This window comes from Homo sapiens, chromosome 14 (assembly GCF_000001405.40).
Source record: "Homo sapiens chromosome 14, GRCh38.p14 Primary Assembly".
Taxonomy (NCBI): domain Eukaryota; kingdom Metazoa; phylum Chordata; class Mammalia; order Primates; family Hominidae; genus Homo; species Homo sapiens.
The window spans coordinates 77,474,394-77,498,817 of record NC_000014.9 but is presented as its reverse complement, the minus strand read 5'-3'; the positions used below and the strand labels follow the sequence as shown (position 1 = coordinate 77,498,817).

At 52.7% G+C, this 24,424-nt stretch overlaps 1 protein-coding gene across 2 annotated transcripts, besides 6 other annotated features; it reads left to right on the top strand.

Moving 5' to 3' along the window:
- On the top strand, positions 2 to 24,424 carry ISM2 (isthmin 2). 2 transcript variants are annotated; one of them, NM_199296.3, is made up of 7 exons: positions 2 to 165; positions 13,899 to 14,141; positions 14,253 to 14,495; positions 16,151 to 16,496; positions 20,103 to 20,243; positions 20,493 to 20,576; positions 22,706 to 24,424. In NM_199296.3, exons 1-7 carry the CDS (start codon positions 25 to 27, stop codon positions 23,221 to 23,223), a joined length of 1,716 nt encoding a protein of 571 aa, NP_954993.1. In that variant the 5' UTR covers positions 2 to 24; the 3' UTR covers positions 23,224 to 24,424. The 2 variants fall into 2 exon arrangements, with proteins under 2 accessions (NP_954993.1, NP_872315.2); NM_182509.4 differs by lacking the exon at positions 16,151 to 16,496.
- Positions 209 to 418: a silencer, noted in NCBI's record as "silent region_5974". NCBI's record gives its function as "represses an Ori minimal core promoter by ATAC-STARR-seq in GM12878 lymphoblastoid cells {active_cell/tissue: GM12878}" and the evidence as "EXISTENCE:reporter gene assay evidence [ECO:0000049][PMID:35858748]".
- Positions 459 to 518: a silencer, noted in NCBI's record as "silent region_5973". NCBI's record gives its function as "represses an Ori minimal core promoter by ATAC-STARR-seq in GM12878 lymphoblastoid cells {active_cell/tissue: GM12878}" and the evidence as "EXISTENCE:reporter gene assay evidence [ECO:0000049][PMID:35858748]".
- Positions 7,159 to 7,658: an enhancer, noted in NCBI's record as "H3K4me1 hESC enhancer chr14:77957503-77958002 (GRCh37/hg19 assembly coordinates)". NCBI's record gives its function as "activates a minimal SCP1, AML or CMV promoter by ChIP-STARR-seq in naive H9 embryonic stem cells {active_cell/tissue: H9 hESC(naive)}" and the evidence as "EXISTENCE:reporter gene assay evidence [ECO:0000049][PMID:30033119]".
- Positions 7,659 to 8,160: an enhancer, noted in NCBI's record as "H3K4me1 hESC enhancer chr14:77957001-77957502 (GRCh37/hg19 assembly coordinates)". NCBI's record gives its function as "activates a minimal SCP1, AML or CMV promoter by ChIP-STARR-seq in primed H9 embryonic stem cells {active_cell/tissue: H9 hESC(primed)}" and the evidence as "EXISTENCE:reporter gene assay evidence [ECO:0000049][PMID:30033119]".
- Positions 13,756 to 14,256: an enhancer, noted in NCBI's record as "H3K4me1 hESC enhancer chr14:77950905-77951405 (GRCh37/hg19 assembly coordinates)". NCBI's record gives its function as "activates a minimal SCP1, AML or CMV promoter by ChIP-STARR-seq in naive H9 embryonic stem cells {active_cell/tissue: H9 hESC(naive)}" and the evidence as "EXISTENCE:reporter gene assay evidence [ECO:0000049][PMID:30033119]".
- Positions 21,235 to 21,404: an enhancer, noted in NCBI's record as "experimental_36801 CRE fragment used in MPRA reporter constructs". NCBI's record gives its function as "activates a minimal promoter by MPRAs in K562 erythroleukemia cells, with activity observed for both the introgressed and non-introgressed 14:77943842 variant alleles {active_cell/tissue: K562}" and the evidence as "EXISTENCE:reporter gene assay evidence [ECO:0000049][PMID:34662402]".

The window sequence follows — 24,424 nt, the reverse complement described above, 5'->3', positions numbered from 1 at the left end:
CAGAGCAGCCTCGGAACCGAGACGATGCGTGCGCTCCGCGACCGAGCCGGGCTCCTCCTCTGCGTGCTGCTGCTGGCGGCGCTGCTGGAGGCGGCGCTAGGGCTCCCCGTGAAGAAGCCGCGGCTCCGCGGACCACGGCCTGGGAGCCTCACGAGGCTCGCAGAGGTGAGTGGCGGCGGCACCGGGCTGCGGAGCGCGCTGTCGGTCCCACCTCCCCAGCCCGCCGGCTCCAGCCGTGCGGGGAGCGGGACCGGGACACACACAGGCAGCGACCCCCCGATGGAGAGAGGGGCCGGGGCCGGCCGGAAGCTCCCGGACACCGGGCGTTGCCCAGGTGCGCCGGACTTCGGGGCTTCCACTCCTCGCGCGTGACCGCGAGCCGGGCTGCCGCGGACCAGCCGGGTGACAAGTTTGACTTCTGTGCGGAGTGAGGTGGCCGACACTCCACGGTGGCCGGGCTTCCTCGCCCTGAGCGGACCTCGCCTGCAGCCCCCTTTCCAGGTGCGCGCTAGCTCGGAGAGGAGTCCCGCCGGTGCGAGGAATCTGGCGCTTTGCGGAGTGGCGGGCCAGGGCCGCTGAGGTTCAAACGGTCAGGTGAGCCCCTTCCATGAGACAAGCGGAGGCACAGTGGGGCTCTCCAGCCGCCGGCAGGGGTGGCCAGCCTGAGACTGGCTCTGTCCTCGTGGCCTGTGGGTGGGCATTGGGGTATAAAACAGGAATGAGATGGAAGAGTGGTGTTGGCCATGGAGAGAAGCCATGGTCTGTCAAACCCTGTGTCTTCCAGTCACTGAGGGGTCTACAGTCCAGCTTATTGCCCCCTGGAATGCAGCGGACGTTCATTCCCATGGGGACAAAGACAGCCAGACTTGTATTAGGGTATGCAGGAGCAGTCCTATGTGGCAGGTGGTCTTAGGTCTTGGGTCCTGGGTCCTTCCATGTACTAAGCTGTAGGAGGCCCGAATAGCTCTTCCCATCTTGCCGTTTTTCCTTCCTTCCTTCCTTCCTTCCTTCCTTCCTTCCTTCCTTCCTTCCTTCCTTCCTTCCTTCCCTCCCTCCCTCCCTCCCTCCCTCCCTCCCTCCTTCCTTCCTACTTTTTCTTTCTCCCTCTCTTTTATTTTATTTTTGGGACAGGATCTCTCTCTGTCACCCAGGCTGGAGTGCGGTGGTGTGATGATAGCTCACTGTAGCCTCAACCTCCCGGACTCAATCGATCCTCCAGCCTCAGCCTCCTGGGTACCTGGGAGCGCAGGCATGCACCACCACACCTGGCTAATTTTTTTTATTTTTTATTTTGTAGAGATGGGGGGGTCTCACTGTGTGTCCCAGGCTGGTCTTGAACTTCTGACCTCAAGCAATCCTCCTGCCTCAGCCTCCCATAGTGCCAGTATTACAGGCATGAGCCATGGTGCCCAGCCATTCTTCTTCTTCCTTTTTTTTTTTTTTTTTTTTTGAGACAGAGCCTCATTGTGTTGCCCAGGCTGGAGTGCAGTGGCACGATCTTGGCTCACTGCAACTTCTGCCACCCGAGTTCAAGCTATTCTCCTGCCTCAGCCTCCCAAGTAGCTGGGATAACAGGCGCCTGCCACCGCGCCTGGCTAATTTTTGTATTTTTAGTAGAGACAGGGTTTCACCATCTTGGCCAGGCCGGTCTTGAGCTCCTGACCTCATGATCCACCTGCCTCGGCCTCCCAAAGTGCTGGGATTACAGGTGTGAGCCACTGCACCCAGCCATTCTTCCCATTTTTGAGATGACGACACTGAGGGTCCATATAGGCATGCAGGGTGTGGGAGATTGTGAGTGAGTGAGTGAGAGAGTGAGAGCCAGAACTTGTCCAGACTGCTGAAACCCTCCAAAGGCCGTGGGAAGGAATGGGGAGACTGGCTGCACTTGAGGATGTGTCTGTAGACCAGTTTTGCTACCTTTTTTTCTGCCCCCTTAAGGAGTCTTTTAGGTTTTTTTCCTGTCCCCACTCCCCATGAATTTTTTTTTTTTTTTTTTTTTTTTTTTTTTTTTTTTTCCTGAGATGGAGTCTCACTCTGTCACCCAGGCTGGAATGCGGTGGCACAATCTTGGCTCACTGCAACCTCCGCCTCTCGGGTTCAAGCAATTCTCCTGCCTTAGCCTCCCCAGTAGCTGGGATCACAGGCTCACGCCACCACGCCCGGCTAATTTTTGTATTTTTAGTCAAGACAGGGTTTCACCATGTTGGCCAGGCTGGTCTCGAACTGGCTGGTCTCGAACTCCTGACCTTATGATCCACCTGCCTAGGCCTCCCTAAGTGCTGGGATTACAGGTGTGAGCCGCCACGCCCGGCTATTTTTTTTCCCGGAGACGGAGTTTTGCTCTTGTTGCCCAGACTGGAGTGCAATGGCGTGATCTTGGCTCACCACAACCTCCGCCTCCTGGGTTCAAGCGATTCTCCTGCCTCTGCCTCCCGAGTAGCTAGGATTACAGGCATGCGCCACCACACCCAGCTAATTTTGTATTTTTAGTAGAGATGGGGTTTCTGCATGTTGGTCAGGCTGGTCTTGAACTCCCGACCTCAGGTGACCTGCCCACCTCAGCCTCCCAAAGTGCTGGGATTACAGGCGTGAGCCACCATGCCCGGCTGAATTTTTTTTTTTTTTTTTGGCATGGAGTCTTGCTCAATCTCGGCTCACTGCATCCTCCACCTTCCAAGTTCAAGCGATTCTCCTGCCTCAGCCTCAAGAGTAGCTGGGATTACAGATGCCTGCCACCACGCCCAGCTAATTTTTGTATTTTTTTAGTAGAGATGGGGTTTCGTCATGTTGACCAGGCTGGTCTCAAACTCCTGACCTCAAGTGATCCATCTGCCTTGGCCTCCCAAAGTACTGGGCTTACAGGTGTCAGCCACCACGCCCGACCTCCCCATGACATTTTAATACCATAGATACACTGTCTATGTATTATAGCCCTTTGGAATGTCACAAACCATTGTAATATCTTAAGACTTTTTGGTCCCTCACAAGATCTAGTTATTGCCCCTATTGAGAATGCATCCTTTAGACTGGCTCTTCTCAGCCTCGGCACCCTCGTCATTTTGGGGCATATAATTCTTTGTGGTAGGGGCTGTTGTCTTATGCTTCATAGAACGTTTAGCAGCATTCCTGGCCTCTACCCACTAGGCGCCTGTAGCACTTGCCGCCTCACGAGGCCCAGACACTCCACATGCTTCCTGTGGGACACCCTATCCCCACTGCCCGTAGTGGAGAATGACTGTTGTAGACAGATGAGGCCTCTCGCCAGTCCCTCCTCCTACATGGAGATGACAGTGATAATAAAATTAACTAAATTGGCATTGTTTCTGCTCACTTGGCATGAATACTTTCTATTTTAGTACTTACTGCTTTGTATTGTAATTATTTTTAGCATGTTTGCCAAATCTTCCCCTAACAAGAACACCCTAGAGGATGAGTTATTTCAGAGCCAAAATCATATCCTCAGCTCCCGTACAAAGCCTGGCAGAGTCATCAAAAACATGTGAAAACAAATTAGTGCCACAATGAAAAAGCAGAGCTTAGAGTCTAGGCCTTGGAGTTCTGGTCCCAGTGGGTCATTAATGCATGTGTGACTCACCTCGGATGATTTCCTCACATTTAAAAAGAGGGGCCTGCGTGGTGGCTCACACCTGTAATCCCAGCACTTTGGGAGGCCAAGGTGGGAGAATTGCTTGAGCCCAGGAGTTCAAGACCAGCCTGAGCAACATGGCGAAAACCCATCTCTACCCCCCAAAAAATACAAAAATTAGCTGAGCGTGATGGTGCGCCCCCCGTAGTCTCAGCTACTCTGGAGGCTGAGGTGGGAGGATCTCCTGAGCCCAGGAGGCAAGAGTTGCAGTGAGCTGAGATCGCGCCACTGCACTCCAACCTGGGTGACAAAGCGAGACCCTGTCTCAAAAATAAATAAATAAAATGAAAAAAGAGAGCTGAGAGAGCCTAAGTCATCTTTATGGTTCTGTCCAGCTCTGACATCGTTCCATGAGTCTTCATGATTTGTGTTAAAGCTGTCTATGGCAAAGGTGTTAGTTTAAGGAGTCATGTTGAGAGAATGCAGATTGCTATTCTAGGGACTTGGGTGGCGTGTCACAAATAACTGACCAGGCTGGGTGCAGTGGCTCACACCTGTAATCTCAGCACTTTGGGAGGCTGAGGAGGGTGGATCACTTGAGGTCAGGAGTTCAAGACCAGCCTGGCCAACCTGGTGAAACCCCATCTCTACTAAAAATACAAAAATTAGCCGGGCATGGTTGTGGGCACCTGTGGTCCCAGCTTATTGGGAGGCTGAGGCAGAAGAATTGCTTGAACCTAGGAGGCAGAGGTCATAGTGAGCCGAGATTGTGCCACTGCACTCCAGCCTGGGAGACAGAGTGAGTCTCCATCTCAAAAATTAAAAAAAATTGAAAAATAAAAAAGAAATAACTGACCAGCCCAAAGACCTTAATGAAGAAGCTAAAGAACATCAAACCCCTGAATCTAAAAGTAAAGGTTGCTGAAAGGGAAGTGAGCATTTTCTGGGCCTTACAGAGTCCATATGAATTACTTAACATGAGAATATTTCATTGTTACACCACTTTGACATGGGCATGATCTCCATTTTCCAGATGAAAAATGGAGGCACAGAAAAGTTAAGCCTAGCCAGGAGCCAGGTCTGGGACCTTATGGTACATCTTTGCATGTCATGTTCTAGTCTGCTCATCTGAAGTCTTGAAAAGAATCACAGGGCCGGGAACGGTGGCTCACGCCTGTAATCCCAGCACTTTGGGAGGCCGAGGCGGGCGGATCACAAGATCAGGAGATCAAGACCATCCTGGCTAACACGGTGAAACCCCATCTCTACTAAAAATACAAAAAAAAAAAATTAGCTGGGCATGGTAGCAAGCACCTGTACTCCCAGCTACTCGGGAGGCTGAGGCAGGAGAACGGCGTGAACCCGGGAGACCGAGCTTGCAGTGAGCCAAGATCGCGCCACTGCATTCCAGCCTGAGCGACAGAGCGAGACTCCATCTCAGAAAAAAAGAAAAGAAAAGAATCATTCGGCTGGCCGCAGTGGCTCACGCCTATAATCCCGGCACTTTGGGAGGCCGAGGCAGGTGGATCACTTGAGGTCAGGAGTTTGAGACCAGCCTGGCCAACATGGAGACACCCCATCTCCACTAAAAATACAAAAATTAGCCAGGCGTGGTGGTGGGCGCCTATAATCCCAGCTACTTGGGAGGCTGAGGCAGGAGAATTGCTTGAACTAAGGAGGCAGAGGTTGCAGTGTGCTGAGATCGTGCCACTGCACTCCAGCCTGGGTGACAGAGCAAGACTCCCTCTCAAAAAAAATAATAATAAATAATTAGCCTTGTGAACAAAATATGGCCCCTGCTTCTCTGGGCAGGCCTGTTGCTGAGCCTCAGTTTACTCCCACAGTAAAATAAGAACCCATTCTGTCAGATGCAGTGCTGGGTGAAAAAGCACCAGACACATGGATGGTGACATCGTCATAAAAACAGGTTGTGGGCCAGGCATGGTGGCTCATACCTGTAATCCCAGCACTTTGGGAAGCCAAGGCAGGTGGATCACTTGAGCTCAGGAGTTCAAGATCAGCCTGGGCAACATGGAGAAACCCTGTCTCTACTAAAAATACAAAAATTAGCCAAGCTTGATGGCATGCACCTGTAATCCCAGCTACTGGGGGCTGAAGTGGGAGAATTGCTTAAGCCTAGGAGTTTGAGGCTACAGTGAGCTGTGATTGATTGCACCACTGCACTCCAGCCTGGGTGACAGAATGAGACCCTGTCTTTTTTTTTTCTTTTTTTGAGATGAAGTTTCGCTCTTGTTGCCCAGGCTGGAGAGCAATGGCACAATCTTGGCTCACTGCAACCTCTGCCTCCCAGGCTCAAGCGATTCTCCTGCCTCAGCCTTCCTGAGTAGCTGGGACTACAGGCATGTTCCACCATGCCCGGCTAATTTTGTATTTTTAGTAGCTATGTTGGTCAGGCTGGTCTCGAACTCCCGACCTCAGAAGATCTGTCTGCTTCAGCCTCCCAAAGTTCTGGGATTACAGGCGCGAGCCACCATGTCTGGCCGATCCTGTCTTCAAATAAATAAATTAATTAAATAAAAGAGGCTGGGCCAAGCCAGGCATGGGTAGTGCATGCCTATAGTGCTAGCTACTTGGAGGGTGGGTGGGAGGATCACGAGGAGTTCGAGGCTGCTCTGAGCTGTGAACACACTACTGTACTCCATCCTGGGCAACAGAGCAAGACCCTGTCTTGAAAAAAAAAAAAAAAAAAAAGGCTGGGGCCAGTTTGTTGAGTGCTGGACAGGCAAAGAGTGACCCAGCTCTGTCTTGGGTATTTTCTGTTCTAGTTAGGATGAGAACACCACTCAAACAGCCGCCATGTGTGTTCCTTGTCTTATTATCATTTTAGGGATGAGAAAACTGACAGCGGGCCCAGTAACTAACCCAAGGTTAGTATGTGGTGAGCCAGGATCCCCACTCAGTTTTGCTTAATTCCAGAGCCCCTGGGCACCTAAACCTGGCACCCACCACCTCCCTGGCAGGCAAGGGAAGACCTTGGCATGGGAGAAAGAAGAGCTGGGGACTTGGTGCCACAAAGGGGTTGAGGGGGTTAGAATTAGGCAAGAGAGGCTGGGTGTGGTGGCTCATGCCTGTAATTCCAGCACTTTGGAAGGCCAAGGTGGGAGGATTGAGGCCAGGAGTTCACAGCTCCTGTGAGCTGTGATTGCACCAGTGCACTCCAGCCTGGACTACAGAGTGAGACTCTGTCTTTATTTAAAAAAAAAAAAAGGTGGGGGGCTGGGCGGTGGCTCACGCCTGTAATCCTAGCACTTTGGGAGGCTGAGGCAGGCGGATCCCCTGAGGTCAGGAGTTCAAGACCAGCCTGGCCAACATGGTGAAACCCCGTCTCTACTAAAAATACAAAAATTAGCAGGGCTTAGTGGCAGGGGCCTGTAATCCCAGCTACTCGGGAGGCTGAGGCATGAGAATCGCTTGAACCCAGGAGGTGAGGTTGCAGTGAGCCGAGATTGTGCCTCTGCACCCCAGCCTGGGTGACAGAGTGAGATTCCATCTCAAAAAAAAAAAAAAAAAAAAAAAGACCAGACGCGGTGGCCCATGCCTGTAATTCCAGCACTTTGGGAAGCCAGGGCGGGTGGATCACCTGAGGTTAGGAGTTGGAGACCAGTCTAGCCAACATGGTGAAACCCTGTCTCTACTAAAAATACCAAAAAAATTAGCCGGGCATGGTGGCAGCCACCTGTAATCCCAGCTACTTGGGAGGCTAAGGCAGGAGAATCACTTGAGCCCGGGAGGCAGAGGTTGCGGTGAGCCGAGGTCATGCCACTGCACTCCAGCCTAAGCTGCAGAGTGAGACCCTATCTCTATTTAAAAATAAATAAATAAACAGAGGAGACCTGAGAGAGGACTGTTCTTCCAGTCTGCAAAGACTGTCCCACCTGGAGCGGGATGGGGGTGGTTTGTGCTGCCGCAGCAGGGGTTAAATGGCCATGAAAGAAGCGCTTGTTGAGGGTATAGGCTGAGACAGAACAAAGGGCAGAGGAAGGAGCCTGGGGTCCCTGAGAAACCTGAGGCAGTGTCATGAACATGGTGGGGGTGCCCCCCCAGCACTTCAGTCCCGGTCCATTGTCCAGCCAGTTGCCTGGAAGCAGGGGCTGGATTGCCGGAGATTTGCAAGGTCTCACCTGCCAGGTGGGTGGCAATGAGAAGGATGTATTTCCTAAAGGCTGATTTTATCTGGTTGTGGGGTCTTTCTAGCCCAATCAGTGAGTGAGTGCCAGGGGAGAACTAGAACCTAGGTCTGTGTGGTGCCAAGCCTGTGGCCTCACCTGCTAGCCTTCTCCTGCAGCTGGCCACCTTCCTGGACCTCAGCTATGGCCTTCCTTATCCCTCCAGACCATTCAGTCTCTAAAGGGTTGGAAAAGCCCCCAGGGAGGGAGAGAGAGAAGGACAGGAATGAGGCCTGGAAGCTTGGCTGCCCAGAGGCCTCAGGCAAGTCTCCAGCCTCTCCGATCTCAGTCTCAGGTTGTTACGAGGATCAAAGGGAAGGATGGACGTGGAGAGTTGAACATCCTGTATAGTGTTTTGTTCATCCAGCACATTCAGCACCGCAGAGCAGCAGGCGGCAAACCAGAAGGTGCAGCCACTGCCTGGAGTTAGCAAAGCACAAGGCTTAAGAGCACAAACTCCAGCCATACCACTGACATCAAATCCCACTCTGCCAGCCCCTAGCTGTGTGACTCCAGGCAAGTTACGTTACCTCTCTGATCCTTGGCTGCATTGTCTATGAAGTGAAGATGATGCTCACACCTACCTAAAGTGTTGTTGTGAGAATCCAGTGAGTCTGTACATATAGGGTGATCGGCAAGACTGGCTCCGTTCTTTTTCTTTCTTTTTTTATTGCCTTTACCTGGGAAAGCCAACTGGCCACATTTTTTGTGGGGCCCAGTGCAGAATGAAAATGTTGGGCTTCTTGGCCGGGTGCAGTGGCTCACGCCTGTAATCCCAGCACTTTGGGAGGCCGAGGCGGGCGGATCACGAAGTCAAGAGATTGAGACCATCCTGGCTAACATGGTGAAACCCCATCTCTACTAAAAATACAAAAAATTAGCCGGGCGTGGTGGCTCACGCCTGTAATCCCAGCACTTTGGGAGGCCGAGGAGGGCGGATCACGAAGTCAGGAGATTGAGACCATCCTGGCTAACACGGTGAAACCCCATCTCTATTAAAAATACAAAAAATTAGCTGGGCATGGTGGCGGGCGCCTGTAGTCCCAGCTAATTGGGAGGCTGAGGCAGGAGAATAGCGTGAACCCGGGAGGCTTAGCTTGCAGTGAGCCAAGATCGTGCCACTGCACTCCAGCCTGGGCGACAGAGCAAGACTCCATCTCAAAAACTAAAATAAAAAAAGAAAATATGAGGCTTCTTAGCTATTTCCAAAGGGCAACAGCAGAGCGTTAAACTAAATATGGGGCTCAGTGCAAAGACACAGGTTGCACACCATGAAGCCGGCCCTGTGCGGGGAGCACTATGCTTGGTCAGCACTACTCTTATTACAGTGAGGAGCTTTGCAGCCTCCGCTGGGTGCCAGGGTGGGTTGGCTTAGAATAGTACATACCTAATCCCAGCTACTCAGGAGGCTGAGGTGGGAGGATTATTTGAGCCCAGGAATATCGAGGCCAGTCTGGGCAACATAGCAAGACCCAGTCTTAAAAAAAAAGAATAGTACTTACCAATCAGGAAGGTAGTTGAGGGAGAATGAAATCCAGCCCTATTCCTCTGCCTGTGGCTAAAGAGGCCTGACTAAAGAGTCAATTGCTATTGTAGGCAGGGTCTCAGGCCCGGCTAAAGAGGCAATTGCTGTGTTGTATGCAGGGTCTCAGGCCTGGCTAAAGAGGCAATTGCTGTTGTGTGCTGGGTCTCCAGCACCTCCCACCAGCATGACTTAGTGTGCAGCCTGGCTCTGTGTGGTTGGGCCTGGGCTTCAGGAGCTAGGGCTGCGGGACCTGCACTTGGTGACTGAATTTAATTATCCAGAACAAGTTTCTGACCCCTGAGGCACAAAGGAGAAGGGAGAACAGGGAACTGTGAAGGGGCTGAAACAGGTTAGCAGGCGGGCTCACGCAATGCAGTAAGGGTCTGTGGGGATTGGGACTCTGTTGTGTTAACTGGAAACACGTGGGTCAGGGGCTGCCCGGCCAAGCCTGGGAAGGTAAGCATAGGGGTGAGAGAGAGAGAGAACTGGTAAAGATATACCTCAGATGTATCTCTATTTGGGCAGTGACACCACCCCCCAAAAGAATGGCCTTGTGTGTTTGTACATGCATGCAACTCCACATGTAAGCTTAGAAGATGGAGAGAGGTGGTCTTGTGAGACAGGACTGGAGTTCTTCAACAACCTGGAGTCTCAGAATTCCCCTCAGAATGCCATGAGGATACACCTGCCGAGTGATTTTGCAGCAGTGTTCGGGGGACCTGAATGAGGTGTGAAGAACTGGCATGTTGCCTGGCGAGGGGGGTGCCCCTGATGGCTCCTCTGTCTGCCTTCTGAGTACCATCTGTCGCCACCTCTGGGTAACGTTCATTGCATGCTTAGCACCTACAAGGTACTATTCTAATTCAACAACCCTATGAGACAGGCGCTGGTGTTTCCCTAAATTACAGAGGAAGGAACTAAGGCAGATTAAGTAACCTGCCGGAGGTCATGCAGCTAGTAGGTGTACATGTTGGGATTGAACCCCGGTCATGTGGACTCCAGCCTGAACTCATTTCCACCACATTCAGCTGAGATGAAAGTGGAACTGCTCTGTGAAGACAGAAGGTGGTGGCCCACAAGGGGTTACTGTCACCAGTGTCTGTCCACACGTGCATAGTGTGCACCAGTGCGCAGGTGTTGAGATCAGGCTGGGCTGAGCTGAATCCCAGTTCTCTTATTGTAACCTTTAAGACCTTACATAAGTCCCTACCCTCCCTGAGCCTCCATAGCCTCATCTTTAACATAAAGGTGATCACGCTCGCCCCTCAGGGTTGCTGGTGTTCATTTGTTTACGTGGCAGTGATTTATCGGGCTCCTATAATGTATCAGGCACTGTGCTCAGCACAGTATCCCACAGTGAACAAAGCAGACACAATTCCTGTCTGCACAGAACTTACCTTTGAGTTGGAAAAAGTGACAGATGGCATGGAAATTGCCTAGGAAGGCCTGGTGTGTAAGATGTGTCCAGAGGTTGGCTATGGGCTGGGCCTCTGGGTGCCCGGCCCTGATCCCCTCAGCCCTTCTGGGAGATGTACGTGGCTCACTTGAAGTGCCTGGAGAGCAAATCCTCCCTTCTAGCCCCAGAGCCTTTAACCAGGACTGGTGGAGTTGGCAGATAAATCCCCAGCTCTGTCCCTGCTCGAGGGGTATCGGAGGAGCCCAGGGGGATTGGCTGCAGGTGCCCATCATGGTTGCTGCTTGACTGCATCCTTGACTGCCGCCTCCCCTTCCCTGTCTCGCTCCCCTACCCTCTTCTGGCATCTCCTGGGGCCACCTCCCAGTGGAACCACCTACACTGGAACCCTTGTCTTGGGGTAGGCTTCAAGAGAACCCAAACTAAGATGAGACGTTCCCCACATCTCTTTCCACTCCCAGGAGTTCCGCAAGGGCTGACGTACAGAGAGGGAGACTCCCAAGAGCAGCTCCAGAGAGGAAAGGCGGCACGTGTGGCTGTGACACTTGGCCAGAACCTCTCTGGCCTTTGCCCACCCTATGGTCTGACTGGGCACCAGGGAGAGGAGTGGGTAGAGAGGTCTGGAAAGGAACATTTTGAGCACCTACTGGGTAGCAGGGCCTGGGCTAGGCTTAGTCCTGTTGTCATTCCCATTTTGCAGATGAAGAAGCTCACAGAGGCTTCTCTCCTGCTAGGGCCCCACAGGTTAGAAGCCAGGCTGCCAGCAGAACTCAGACCAGGCAGCCCAATCTACAGCATGCTTGCTTTTCTTTTCTTTTTATTATTTATTTATTTATTTATTTATTTATTTATTTATTTAAGATGGATTCTCACTCTGTTGCCCAGGCTGGAGTGCAATGATGCGATCTTGGCTCACTGCAACTTCTGCTGCCTCAGTTCAAGCGATTCTCCTGCCTCAGCCTCCCGAGTAGCTGGGACTACAGGCACCTGCCACCATGCCCAGCTAATTTTTTTTGTATTTTTAGTAGGGACAGGATTTCACCATGTTGGCCAGGCTGGTCTCAAACTCCCGACCTCAAGTGATCCACCCGCCTCAGCCTCCCAAAGTGCTAGGATTACAGGCGTGAGCCACCGTGCCTGGCCTAGAGCATGCTTTCTTAACTACAGCACTATTCACATGTGGGTTGGATGATTCTTGTGGGATGGCCTTGTGCACTGCAGGCTATGTGGCAGCATTCCTGGCCTGTGCCTACTAGATACTAGTAGAAACCTCCTCTAGCTGTGACAATCACAAATTTCTCCAGGCAGTGCCACATGTCCCCAGATGAGAACCACTGCATAACCACTGTACCACCTGCCCAGGCAGGCCCAGCCACCACCAGGCTAGGGTATCCCAATCAGCCAAAAGGCTGCACAGCCCTGAACACCTGCTGCTCCGAGACTGCCTGTCTCTATGCCCCAGAGACTGCAGACAGTGGAGATGCTGAGCAAAGTCACAGGCACAGTTAGGGCTTTGGTGGAATTGTGGGTGGGAGCTGCTAGGAAGCCAGCACTTAGGGATGCTCCAGGCCTCCCTCATTGGTCAGTGAAGGGGCTGAGTTGTTCCATTACTCACCCTTCCACCTTCCACTCATCCACCCTGCTGTCTAGACTAGAGGGCTTTGACTCAGCAAGAGACTCCAGGCTGGGGCCGAGATGGGCCCACGGCTGCCCTGGGACCAGGCGTTTAGTGCAGGAGCCCTGGAGCCAGGTGTTTGGACACCGCAGAAGGGGAGGTCAAAGAGGGAGAGACAGAAGATTCTGAATCTGTTTCCAAACTTTCAAGAAAAAAAAGTAAGAGTGAGAAACTAGGCTGATTAAGCCCCTGATTTTTGAAGGGGATACAATACTATCACTTTATAGCTTGCAGGTTAAGAGAATGGGCTCTAGGCCCAGACTGCCTGGTTTAAATCCTGGCTTTATCGCTAAATGTCTGTGCAACCTCAGGCAGGTTACTTGCCCTCTCTGTGCCTTAGTTTCCACTGTAAGACAGGCATGACAATGAGGATGTAAGACAGGGAGGATGAAATGAGTGATGAAGTGTTTAGAATAGTGCCTGGTGTGCAGTAAATGCTGTGGAAATGTTTGATAAATAAAATTCTCACAGTCCTTGCAGGGAAGAATGATTATCTTCATTCTGCAGACGAGGATATTGTCAAGTTGAAGAAGTTAGTAAGAGGCAGAGATGGGATTTGAACCCAAGCTTATCTGACTCTCACAACCAGTGTTTGTCAGCCATACCATACTGCCCAGGTATGAGACGGGAGGGGTGGCAAGGGTGTGGCCTGAGTGAAGCAGGGTCCACAGGTGGCAGGTCCCGGAGACTCATAAGGCAGCTCTGGGAGGTGCTCCTTTTGCCCTGGCATAGAGACCTGGGCAGTGGCTATAGCCTGGAGGCAGGTGGCAGCCACTGAGCCCCTAGTGCCCCACTGTCTGGGCAGATGAATGCTGAACAGGAGTCAGAGATGACATGGATCTGCTTTTCACTTACCATCTGATCTGAAGCAAGGACTGTCCCGGTGAGGACACCATGGCCAGTGGCTGTTGGCAGGGATGAACTGGCTGAGTCAGCCATGCCAGCAGCCTGGAATAGAAAAAGGAGCCAGGCCCCAGGCAGGCAGGCGGAGGAACACAGCCCTCATGTGGATGGCCTGGGTGGGGCCTAGCGGACAGGAGCAGGCTGAGGGGAAAGGCCAAGGCCTGCTGCCCACTCCCTGATAGGACCAGGTGCATCCCTGGGGGCCTTTCTCCTCTGGCCTGTGAGGGCCTTGGGGAGTGGGAGGCACATTGTCTGCAAAGGACACCACTCTCTGAAACAACTCTCTCCCCTTCTTGGGCTGTGGTTTCTTCATCTGTGAAATGACCCTCCTTTTCATGCCTTACACTGGCATCCTCTGTGAAAGCACTTTGTGGATACAGTCCACTGTCTGACCAGCTACACCCTCACTTACCCGTTGAGGGCCTTAAAGCAGGCAGTGTGGAGATTTTACACTACAGATACACACTCCAGAGAGATGTAAGTCACAGGGTGAGTTTATGACCCGGTCAGACCCCAGGGCTCCTGGATCTGCCTGGCCAGCCTTTTCCGGATCCCCGTGGGGTGAGCCCTGACCTGTTACCTTACCTTCCTTCTCTCTCCCTCAGGTCTCAGCCTCCCCAGATCCTAGGCCTCTGAAGGAAGAGGAGGAGGCACCACTGCTCCCCAGAACCCACCTGCAGGCAGAGCCACACCAACATGGATGCTGGACTGTCACTGAGCCAGCAGCCATGACCCCAGGCAACGCCACCCCTCCCAGGACCCCAGAGGTTACTCCGTTGCGGCTGGAGCTGCAGAAGCTGCCGGGATTGGCCAACACAACCTTGAGTACCCCTAACCCTGATACCCAGGTGAGAGCTACAGAAGGGCCAGCAGCTCCTGGCTCTGCCTGGCCAGCCTTTTCTGGGTCCCTGTTGGGTAAGCCCTAACCTGTCACCTCACCTTCCCTCTCTCTTCCTCAGGCTTCAGCCTCCCCAGATCCTAGGCCTCTGAGGGAAGAGGAGGAGGCACGACTGCTCCCCAGAACCCACCTGCAGGCAGAGCTACACCAACATGGATGTTGGACTGTCACTGAGCCAGCAGCCCTGACCCCAGGGAATGCCACGCCTCCCAGGACCCAGGAGGTTACTCCCTTGCTGCTGGAGCTGCAGAAGCTGCCAGAATTGGTCCACGCAACCTTGAGTACCCCTAACCCTGATAACCAGGTGAGAGCTACAGAAGGGCCAGCAGCCCTGCAGACACCCGGAGAGGAGCGGGGCTGACAAGGTGGGCTCAGGATACCCTATATCCTGGATTCCGTGGAGGGTGGGGCTGCTGTGTGGGGTCAGAGGGCAGGCTCCCCATGCTCTCCCTGTGGTGTAGGGGGCAGAGGACCTGCCCCTCTACTTTCTAGCTGTGGGCCTTGGGCAAGTCTTTTGACTCTTTGAGCCTTTGTTCTCTAGACCATGGCAAGAGACAAACAGCACCAACCCAGCAGGGCTATGTGAGCACCAGTGAGTGGGAAATGCTTTGTAGGCTACAAGGGATTCCAGGAATCTAAGGAGGCCTCCTGGAAAAGACCTGCAGGTCTGATCCCCTAAAGAAGGGGTTCAGTATGGAATGGAGTAGGCTGGTGGCATGGGGGACAGCCACCTGAAGGGCTTTATAGGAGAGGAAATTAGAGCAGCTGGCAGAATTCTAGTTTCAGGCTCCACTGCCTGGCGTGAGTCCTTCATGATAATAATTCTGCATGTTTGTGTAGCAGCTATAGTTTACAAAACACTTTCCCCAGAAGGGGAAAAAAGACCATAAAAGTATAAAACACAATTCTAAAATTATTTAAAAGTGTCTCTCTTCTTTTCTCTACTTACCTACACACACACACACAGACACACACACACACACGCACACACGCACACGCACACGCAAAAAACTGGAAGGCAGAAATGTCAGTGATAGAATATAGGTGATATTCTTTTTTCTTTCTTTTTTTTTTTTTTTGAGATGGAGTCTCGCTCTGTTGCACAGGCTGGAATGCAATGGCATGATCTCAGCTCCCTGCAACCTTTGCCTCCTGGGTTCAATAAATTTTCCTGCCTCAGGCTCCCAAGTAGCTGGGTGCACCAACATGCCCGGCTAATTTTTGTATTTTTAGTAGAGACGGGGTTTCACCATGTTGGCCAGGCTGGTCTCGAACTCTTGACCTCGTGATCTGCCCACCTCGGCCTCCCAAAGTGCTGGGATTACAGGCGTGAGCCACTGAGCCCAGCCAGAATATAGGCGATTTTCATTTTCTTCTTCATAGTTTGCTGTTTTTTTCCAAATTTTGTTCAGTGAACCTCATGTTACTTTATTGAATAGCCTAATGTTTCCGAAGTTCAGTTTCACATAAATGATTTTCTTTTACTTATTTTCCATCCATAATGTGGTGCAAGAGAGTTCCTCCAAGGGCTGCTGTGTCGGGAGCACTCAGCTTCCAGCCCTACCATGAGGAATTGGAGGCTCAGAGCTGCCCAGGTCCAGCAGATGCATGCTGGCAGAGCCGAGATTCAAAGCCAGCTTCTCTTAAGCTAGTGAGTGTCAACCCTGGCATGTGTTAGAACCGCCATACCTGGCCCCAGCCCAGACCAGTTCAGTCCATACCTGGCATCTGCGAATTAGGAGTCCCCAGGTGATTCTAATGCACCTCCAGGCCGTAAGCTGTGATTCTTGTGCCCTAAGAGGCCAGGAAGGTTAGCCAAAAATGTCAGCCAAGAGAAGACAGCTGGTTTGAAGGAAAGGTTGGGCCTCTCACCTCTGACCCTGACCCCATCATCCCTCGTCTCTTTGGAATGCAGCTCTAAGACCTCCTTCACTGGCCGGCCTGGCCTGTCTCCTGCAGGTGACCATCAAGGTGGTGGAGGACCCCCAGGCCGAGGTGTCGATAGACCTGTTGGCTGAGCCCAGCAATCCCCCGCCCCAGGATACCCTTAGCTGGCTGCCCGCCCTCTGGTCCTTCCTCTGGGGAGACTACAAAGGAGAGGAAAAAGACAGGGCCCCAGGGGAGAAGGGGGAGGAAAAGGAGGAAGACGAGGACTATCCTTCAGAGGATATCGAGGGTGAGGATCAAGAGGACAAAGAGGAAGATGAGGAAGAGCAGGCGCTCTGGTTCAATGGAACTACAGACAACTGGGACCAGGGCTGGCTGGCCCCCGGGGATTGGGTCTTCAAGGATTCTGTCAGCTACGGTGAGCACCCCCATCTTGGCATCCCCAGGCTGCTCCCCTGTAGGTACTGAGTGGAAATGGGGGTGAGGGAGAGGGTGGAGGCTTCCCAGGCAAGACCATTGAGGAAGCCAGGAGCTTAGGCCTTGTTCAAACACCATCATCAACTCAAAAGTAACATTGACAATAGCTTGCAGAGTTTTTCCTTTTTTTTTTTTTTAATTTTTTAATTTGAGATTGGGTCTCGCTCTGTTACCCAGGCTGGAGTGCAGTGGCATGATCATGGTTCACTGCAGCCTCAAACTCCTGGGCTCAAGCGATCCTCCCACCTTAGCCCTCCCACCTTAGCCTCCGAATAGCTGGAACCACAGGTGCATACCACCAGGGCAGGCTAATTTTTTTATTTTTAGTAGTGATGAGGTCTCCCTATGTTGCAGAGGCTGGTCTCAAACTCCTGGGCTCAAGCAGTCCTCCCACCTCGGCCTCCCAAAGTGCTGGGATTACAGGCATGAGCCACTGTGCCCAGCCTTTTTTTTTTCTTTTTTTCTGAACAACATTTGACCCTCACAAAAATCTCTGATATCCCCTAAGCAAAAGACATTTGTTACTATTATATTTATTTACATCTGTGAGTTTCCAAGGATTGAGAAATTATAAATTCCATCACTCATGACTGACCTTATTTTCAGATTGTGTGTGTGACTTTGACTCCTGACTGTGTTGCTTACCAGCTGAATGACCTTGGGCAAGATTCTTCAACTCTCTGTGCCTCAGTTCCTTCCTCTATAGAATGGGGAATGGTATAATCTTTACTACATGGAGTTGGCTGTAGAGAGTATTAAGTGAGTTAAGACATATACAGTGCCAGCATGGAGTAAAGAAAGTATTGGCTATTTTTATTATTTTTGTTAGAAAAAGACACAACAGCAGCACAAACTGTTCAGAAAATATTACCTTAAGCCTACCAGCCTCTCATGATGACAGATTTTTTTTTTTTAATTTTTTTGAGGTGGAGTCTCACTCTGTTGCCCAGGCTGGAGTGCAGTGGCACAATCTCGGCTCACTGCAACCTCCACCTCCCAGGTTCGGACGATTCTCATGCCTCAGCCTCCCAAGTAGCTGAGATTACAGGTGTGGACCACCACGCCTGGCTAATTTTTGTAGTTTTAGTAGAGATGGGGTTTCACCAGCTTGGCCAGGCTGATCTTGAACTCCTGACCTCAAGTGATCTGCCTGCCTTGGCCTCCCAAAGTGCTGGAATTACAGGCATGAGCCACCGTGCCCGGCCATGATGATGATTTTTATTTTTGCGTATTGTGGTTCAGGTTTCCTCTGGGTGCAGACATGTTTTATGCATAGTTGCAGCCATTCCCCTTGGAGCCCTGGTGTCTTGTCAATGGACAGAGGTGCCTATTGTTAAGACTAACTTGTGACAGGCTCTTCCCAATTCACTAAAATAATGTAAACTCACAGAAAATTTTCATGACAGCCGGGCATGGTGGCTCATGCCTTGTAATCCCAGCACTTTGGGAGGCCAAGGCAGGTGGACTGCTTGAGCTCAGGAGTTTGTGATCAGTCTGGGCAACATGTTGAAACCCTGTCTCTACAAAAAACACAAAAATTAGTTGGGCACAGCGGCGCCTGCCTGTAGTCCCAGCTACTCGGGAGGCTGAAGTGGAAGGATCACTTGAGCCTGGGAGGTCAAGGCTGCAGTGAGCCATGATTACATCACTGCACTCCAGCCTGGGTGACAGAGCGAGACCCTGTCTCTAAAAAAAAAAAAAAAAAAAAAAAAAAGGAAAAAATTTCCGTGTTTTTCAGCTTTTCTCCCATTAATTTTCCTTAAACTCTTGGCGCCAGTGCTGGCCTGCCTGTGAAGTGTGGAACCAGCTCTCAGTATTTTGGGGGTTTCACAGAAAGCACTGGGTCTCAGGCCCTGCACACCCTGAGGATTTGGGCCCAGCCACAGTGTATTTCAGCTCCCTCAGATCAGAAGTGGGTCCCTAATATGGGTAGCAGGGAAATTCTTTTTTTTTTTTTTTTGAGACAGTGTCTCACTGTGTCTGGAGTGAGACACAGTGGCTGTGGCTGGAGTGCAGTAGCATGATCACAGCTCACTGCTGCCTCAACCTCCCTGGCTCAGATGATCCTCCTGCCTCAGCCTCCACAGTAGCTTTTTAAACATTTTTTGTAGAGATGGGGTTTTGCCATATTTCCCAGGCTGGTCTCGAACTCCTGAGTTTAAGCAATCTGTCTGCCTCAGCCTCCCGAAGTGCTGGGATTATAGGCATGAGCCACCATGCCCAGCCTGGGAAATTATTAAATATCTCCAGTGCAAGGGAAATATTGTCACCCTTGGTTTTGATTGACATAGAAACTATAGCTCAGGCCAGGTGGGTGGCTCACACCTGTAATCCCAGCATTTTGGGAGGCTGAGGCTGGAGGATCGCTTGAGCCCAGGAGTTCAAGACCAGCCTGGGCAACATGGTGAAACCCCGTCTCTACAAAAAATTTAAAAATTAGCCAGGCTTAGCCGGGTGCAGTGGCTCATGCCTGTAATCCCAGTACTTTGGGAGGCCAAGGCAGGCGGATCACTTGAGGTCAGGAGTTCGAGACCAGCCTGGCCAACATGGTGAAACGCCGTCTCTACTAAAAATACAAAAATTAGCCATGCAGTGGCTCACGCCTGTAATCCCAGCACCTTGGGAGGCCAAGGTAGATGGATCATGAGGTCAGGGGTTCGAGACCAGCCTGACCAACTTGGTGAAACACTGTCTCTACTAAAAATACAAAAATTAGCTGGGTGTGGTGGCGGGCACCTGTAATCCCAGCTACCCAGGAGGCTGAGGCAGGAGTATTGCTTGAACCCGGGAGGCAGAGGTTGCAGTGAGCCGAGATCACGCCACTGCACTCCAGCCTGGGCGACAGAGCAAGACTCCATCTGAAAAAAAAAAAAAAAATTAGCCAGGCATGGTGGCGCATGCTTGTAATTCCAGCTGCATGGGAGGCTGAGGCAGGAGAATCACTTGAACCCGGGAGGCGAAGGTACAGTGAGCCGAAATCACGCCACTGCACTCTAGCCTGGGTGACAGATTCTCAAAAAAAGAAAAAATTAGCCAGGCCTAGTGGCACGTACCTGTAGTCCCAGTTACTAGGGAGGCTGAGGTGGGGGGATTGCTTGAGCCCAGGAAGTCAAGGCTGCAGTGAGCTATGATCACACCATTGCACTCCAGCCTGGGCAACAGGGTAAGACCCTGACACAGAAAAGAAATTAAAAAACCTATAGCTCAGAGATGTAGGGGGACTTGCCCAAGGTCATACCAATAGTGGTCAGATAGCTCCCAGCCCTAGGTATCATTTCCTCTTTATACTGTGTTGACACAGAGCAAGTGGCTAGGCGTTATACTGTCTTTTCAGAGCCACCTGATATATTTGCACAGGTTATTCACTGCAGAAGGGAATCCAGTTGAGGGAGCAGGTGGAAGCTGAAATCCAGCCCAGCTTCATTCATGAGGCTGGAAGCCCTGGCATGGGCTGCATCCACCTGAGGAAAGGGTGCCCTGTGCTGATTTGTACCAATTTGCCCTGTGAGCTATATGCACTCACCCCCAACTCCCTGTCTTAACCCAGACTATGAGCCTCAGAAGGAGTGGAGTCCCTGGTCTCCCTGCAGTGGGAACTGCAGCACTGGCAAGCAGCAGAGGACTCGGCCCTGTGGCTATGGCTGCACTGCCACCGAGACCCGTACCTGTGACCTGCCCTCCTGTCCTGGTGAGATGAGCCCCTACCCCTGCATAGGAGTGGCTGGTGCGGCTTAGGCTGGAGGCTTGGTCCCCTGGGAATGTGGGTGGGCTTGGGAGATGGGATGCAGGAAGCTCAAAAACATGGTGGTCCTGCCTTGTCCCAGGCCTATTTTGGCTGCTGTGGGCACTGAGAGCCTATTGAGGTGGGGGGGTTTCCCCATCAGCGGCACTGAGGTGGCCTGCGGAGCCACCAGCCTGGCCTCCTTTCCTCCCAAAGGCACTGAGGACAAGGACACCTTGGGCCTCCCCAGTGAGGAGTGGAAGCTCCTGGCCCGCAATGCTACGGACATGCATGATCAAGGTGAGTGAGGGGCTAGGCTTGCCCCTGGTGGTTTGGGGAACGAGCTCTCAGGGGAGGGTGGGGTATTATTCCATGGCAGGAACCTGGCTTCTTTCCACTAGGCAGAGAGCACAGCTTCCATCTGGAAGGTTTGCTTCTCCAACAGGGGGCCCTGGCATTTCTGAGCCAGCTCATTGGCCTTTCTCAGACTGGTATTCCTACTGGGAAGGTCTTAATGGGAGCGGCAGAGCTTAGAGATCATCTGGTGGGGGCATATCCTATCCTCCCTGGCAGCAGGATAGGGTGGGGACGTTCTGACTTCCATTCCTTGGTTACTCTTGGGAGGCTCCTGGGCAGGCTCTGTCTGGAGAGGGGGATGCAGTGCAGTCAGAAATGGGTCAGTGTGCAGAACTCCAGCATTGCTCCTCCAGGCAGCTGGGCATGGGGCAGGCGTCCACCTGCACACTCTGAGTCTGTGTCTGTTGGTCTTACTTGCACCCTGCAAGGAAGGCAGGGAGACCAACCTTGCAGATAAGGGTTGCACTCAGCACAGCAAGAGCCTACTGAGCCTGCATCATGTGCCTGGCCATGGTGCTGGCACAGGGGATGTCAGCAGCCTGAGGCTTGGTCCATGTCCTCAAGGAGCTCAGGTCCCATGGGGGAAAGACACGCATAACCCATGTGAGCACTGCACTGCAAAGAAGGCCCTAAAGATTTGGGAGCAGAGAGGAAGGAGCAGTTTGTTTTCTGGTACAGGGGTGGGCCTGGGAAATGTGTGTCTCTTCCCCTCTCCTGTGTTACCATTTCCCAGGCTCCTCCTTCACTCCCAGTCAAAACCCAAATCCCAGCATCTGGATCCTGGGGAAGGTTCCAGTCCCTTGGAGATGTGCAGAGCCTCAAACTATCAAAGTCAGTCCCCCAGTGTCCGGGGCTGGACAGCTCATCCCATTAGGATGAGGGCACAGAAGGGAAAATGAGAAACAAGACCCGGTTAACAGCATCCACTCAGGCAGATTCTGGGGAGTGAGGAGCAAGGTTCTGCACATTCCCACGTGGCCAGCCGCCCAAGGCCATTTTTCTTCTTTCTGCTGTTCCCTGGTGACTGCAGTGTTTTCCCCTTCCCTGCTCGCTGCAGGGCTCTGGTGAGTCTGGGGGGCACCTCTTTCTGGTTTATGAAGGCTCCTGGCCTCTGCTGCACTGTGCCATGGGGACCGGGTGAAATGGTGAGACAGAGTCTTGCTCTGTCACCCAGGCTGGAGTGCAGTGGTGTGATCTCAGCTCACTGCAACCTCCACCTCCTGGGTTCAAGTGATTCTCATGTCTCAGCCTCCCGAGTAGCTGGGATTACAGGCATGCGCCACCAAGCCCGGCTAATTTCTGTATTTTTTGTAGAGACGGGACTTTGCCATGTTGGCCAGGCTGGTCTTGAGCTCCTACCTCCTGCCTTGGCCTCTAGAAGTGCTGAGATTACAGGCGTGAGCCATCGCGCCTGGCCCCCCAGCTCTTCTATTTAAGAGAACCTCAGTCAGATGTACTTTAGCCTCAGGTTTTTGTTTTGAGGGATATAATTTATTTTAAAATTAAATAAAAATATAGTTTAAAAAAAGGCCACGTTTCCCGAGGTGGAGATGGGGAGGAGAGCAGCATAGACAGAGGGGGCCACAGGAGGCCCAAAGTGGCCAAATGACTCACCCCAGGCCAGATTGCCTGAGAAAGGCAGCGTTCAGAACAAGAATGGTCCAGTGGCTAAAATAATGAAACCTTCTTACCAGTTGGTGAAAAGCTGCTGTACCTGTCTCCACTCACCCCAGATCCTTTTCCAAGATCTCAGGATCTTTCCCACCATTCAGCACATGACACCTAAACCTTTCCCACCATTCAGCATGTGACATATGGCACCGCAGAGGACATCTGGGTCATTGCTCCAGCCCCTTGGCCTGTGTCTGTTCTGAGCAAGAGCTTCTTGCTTCAGGTTGTCTGGATGGTGTGGGGTAGCCTCTCTCCATCCCCAAGGCCCTACCAAGCCACGCCTTTGCACCAGCTGGGGCCTGGGCCTTCTCTCCCCATGCACTGGCCCTTAATCAGTCCCCGCCCCACACGGGCCTGGCTCTGTCACTGGCTTCCCTCCTGCACTTTGTGGCCCTTTGCAGATGTGGACAGCTGTGAGAAGTGGCTGAACTGCAAGAGCGACTTCCTAATCAAGTATCTGAGCCAGATGCTGCGGGACCTGCCCAGCTGCCCGTGTGCCTACCCACTGGAGGCCATGGACAGCCCTGTGAGCCTACAGGACGAGCACCAGGGCCGCAGCTTCCGGTGGAGGGATGCCAGTGGCCCTCGCGAGCGCCTGGACATCTACCAGCCCACGGCGCGCTTCTGCCTGCGTTCCATGCTGTCTGGGGAGAGCAGCACACTGGCCGCCCAGCACTGCTGCTATGACGAGGACAGCCGGCTGCTGACCCGTGGCAAGGGCGCCGGCATGCCCAACCTCATCAGCACCGACTTCTCACCTAAGCTGCACTTCAAGTTCGACACGACGCCCTGGATCCTGTGCAAGGGGGACTGGAGCCGCCTCCACGCTGTGCTCCCTCCCAACAACGGCCGAGCCTGCACCGACAACCCCCTGGAGGAGGAGTACCTAGCACAGTTGCAGGAGGCCAAGGAGTACTAGTGACGGGGTTGCTGAACAGACACTGCAGGGAGAGGGCAGGCGGCTGCTGCTGTTGCACGGGAGAACTTTCCTCACCCGCCCCTGCCCAGACAGGGTGAGGAAAGGGCTCCCCCAGTGAGGTTGGTCCGAGGCTGTGTGCCCTCTGCCAGCGACCCCGAAGCAGATATCTCAGTGGGGTTAGTGAGAAGGTTGAAGGGTATGTAGGGCCCAGGGTGGGTGTCCCTGGGAGCCCTGGAAATGTGCATATGTGCATGTGTCTGCCGGGGCCTCCCTCTGCTGCCTGCTGGGACCCTGGCCACTCATTTTTCTCCTCCTTGGGAGCTGGGCTCTTCTGCCCTGGCTCTGCACATAAGTGTTAGCCAGCAGCTCCAGAAAAATCCCGATTCCCGGGATCTGCCACGAGTCACTCCTACTCCACCCTGATGGCCAGCAGAGGAAGGGCCACTCTTCTCATGGGCACAGCCATCCTTTGCCGGGGGGGGCATCCAGCCTGGGTGGCCACCCCTCCTTATCTCTGGGTGGTGCACATGCCCTTCTTTCCCCACTCCCTGCCACGAGCCACTGCACAGGAGGCTATCTGTAGCCCCAAGCTGCCTTTCTGTTGGACACCAACTTTAGTCTTGGGCTGCAAGCCAGCCCAGCTGAGGCGAAGTGGACTCCAGGCAGGGAATGGGTTGCCCAATTCTGGTCCCTTTCCTTTGCTCAGCCCCCTCTGTTCTGCTGATTGTAGGGATGTGCAGGGCTGGGAGTTGGCACTCCCCCCGAGTGGGGAGGTGACAGCTTGTCACAGTAGCCAGGCTTGGGTGGGTTCAGCACTAGCTCGGGACGGTGTGTCACACGTCTATAGTAAACCAGTTCTCTGGGAGGGGAAAAAAGCCCTGATTTATTGCATTTGGGCAGCTTCTGTGGTGTAAATTCTCCCAGCAGTGTCCCATGTCATGCTGCCAGCATCACTGAATGCACTGAACTCAGAGTTGGGAAGAGATGCACATAATCGCTCTCCCGGCACACCTCATGCCTCTTCCCTGCCTCCCCATTCCCCTGGCTGCACTTCCTTGCCTTCTATGGGGTTGAAATATTGAAGTCTCAACTGTCTCTGTTCACAAGAGCCACCAAAAGTTAGGGGACTTCAGTCCTAGCCCCCAGATGGCCGCCCTGAAGCTCTCTGGGCTCCTCAGCAATAAAGCACTTTATTTTCAAA

Coding starts and splice junctions, on each gene's coding strand:
- ISM2 (NM_199296.3), top strand. CDS start 25: ATGCGTGCGCTCCGCGACCGAGCCGGGCTCCTCCTCTGCGTGCTGCTG. Junction 166..13,898: donor GCCTCACGAGGCTCGCAGAG/GTGAGTGGCGGC, acceptor TCTCTCCCTCAG/GTCTCAGCCTCCCCAGATCC. Junction 20,577..22,705: donor TACGGACATGCATGATCAAG/GTGAGTGAGGGG, acceptor GGCCCTTTGCAG/ATGTGGACAGCTGTGAGAAG.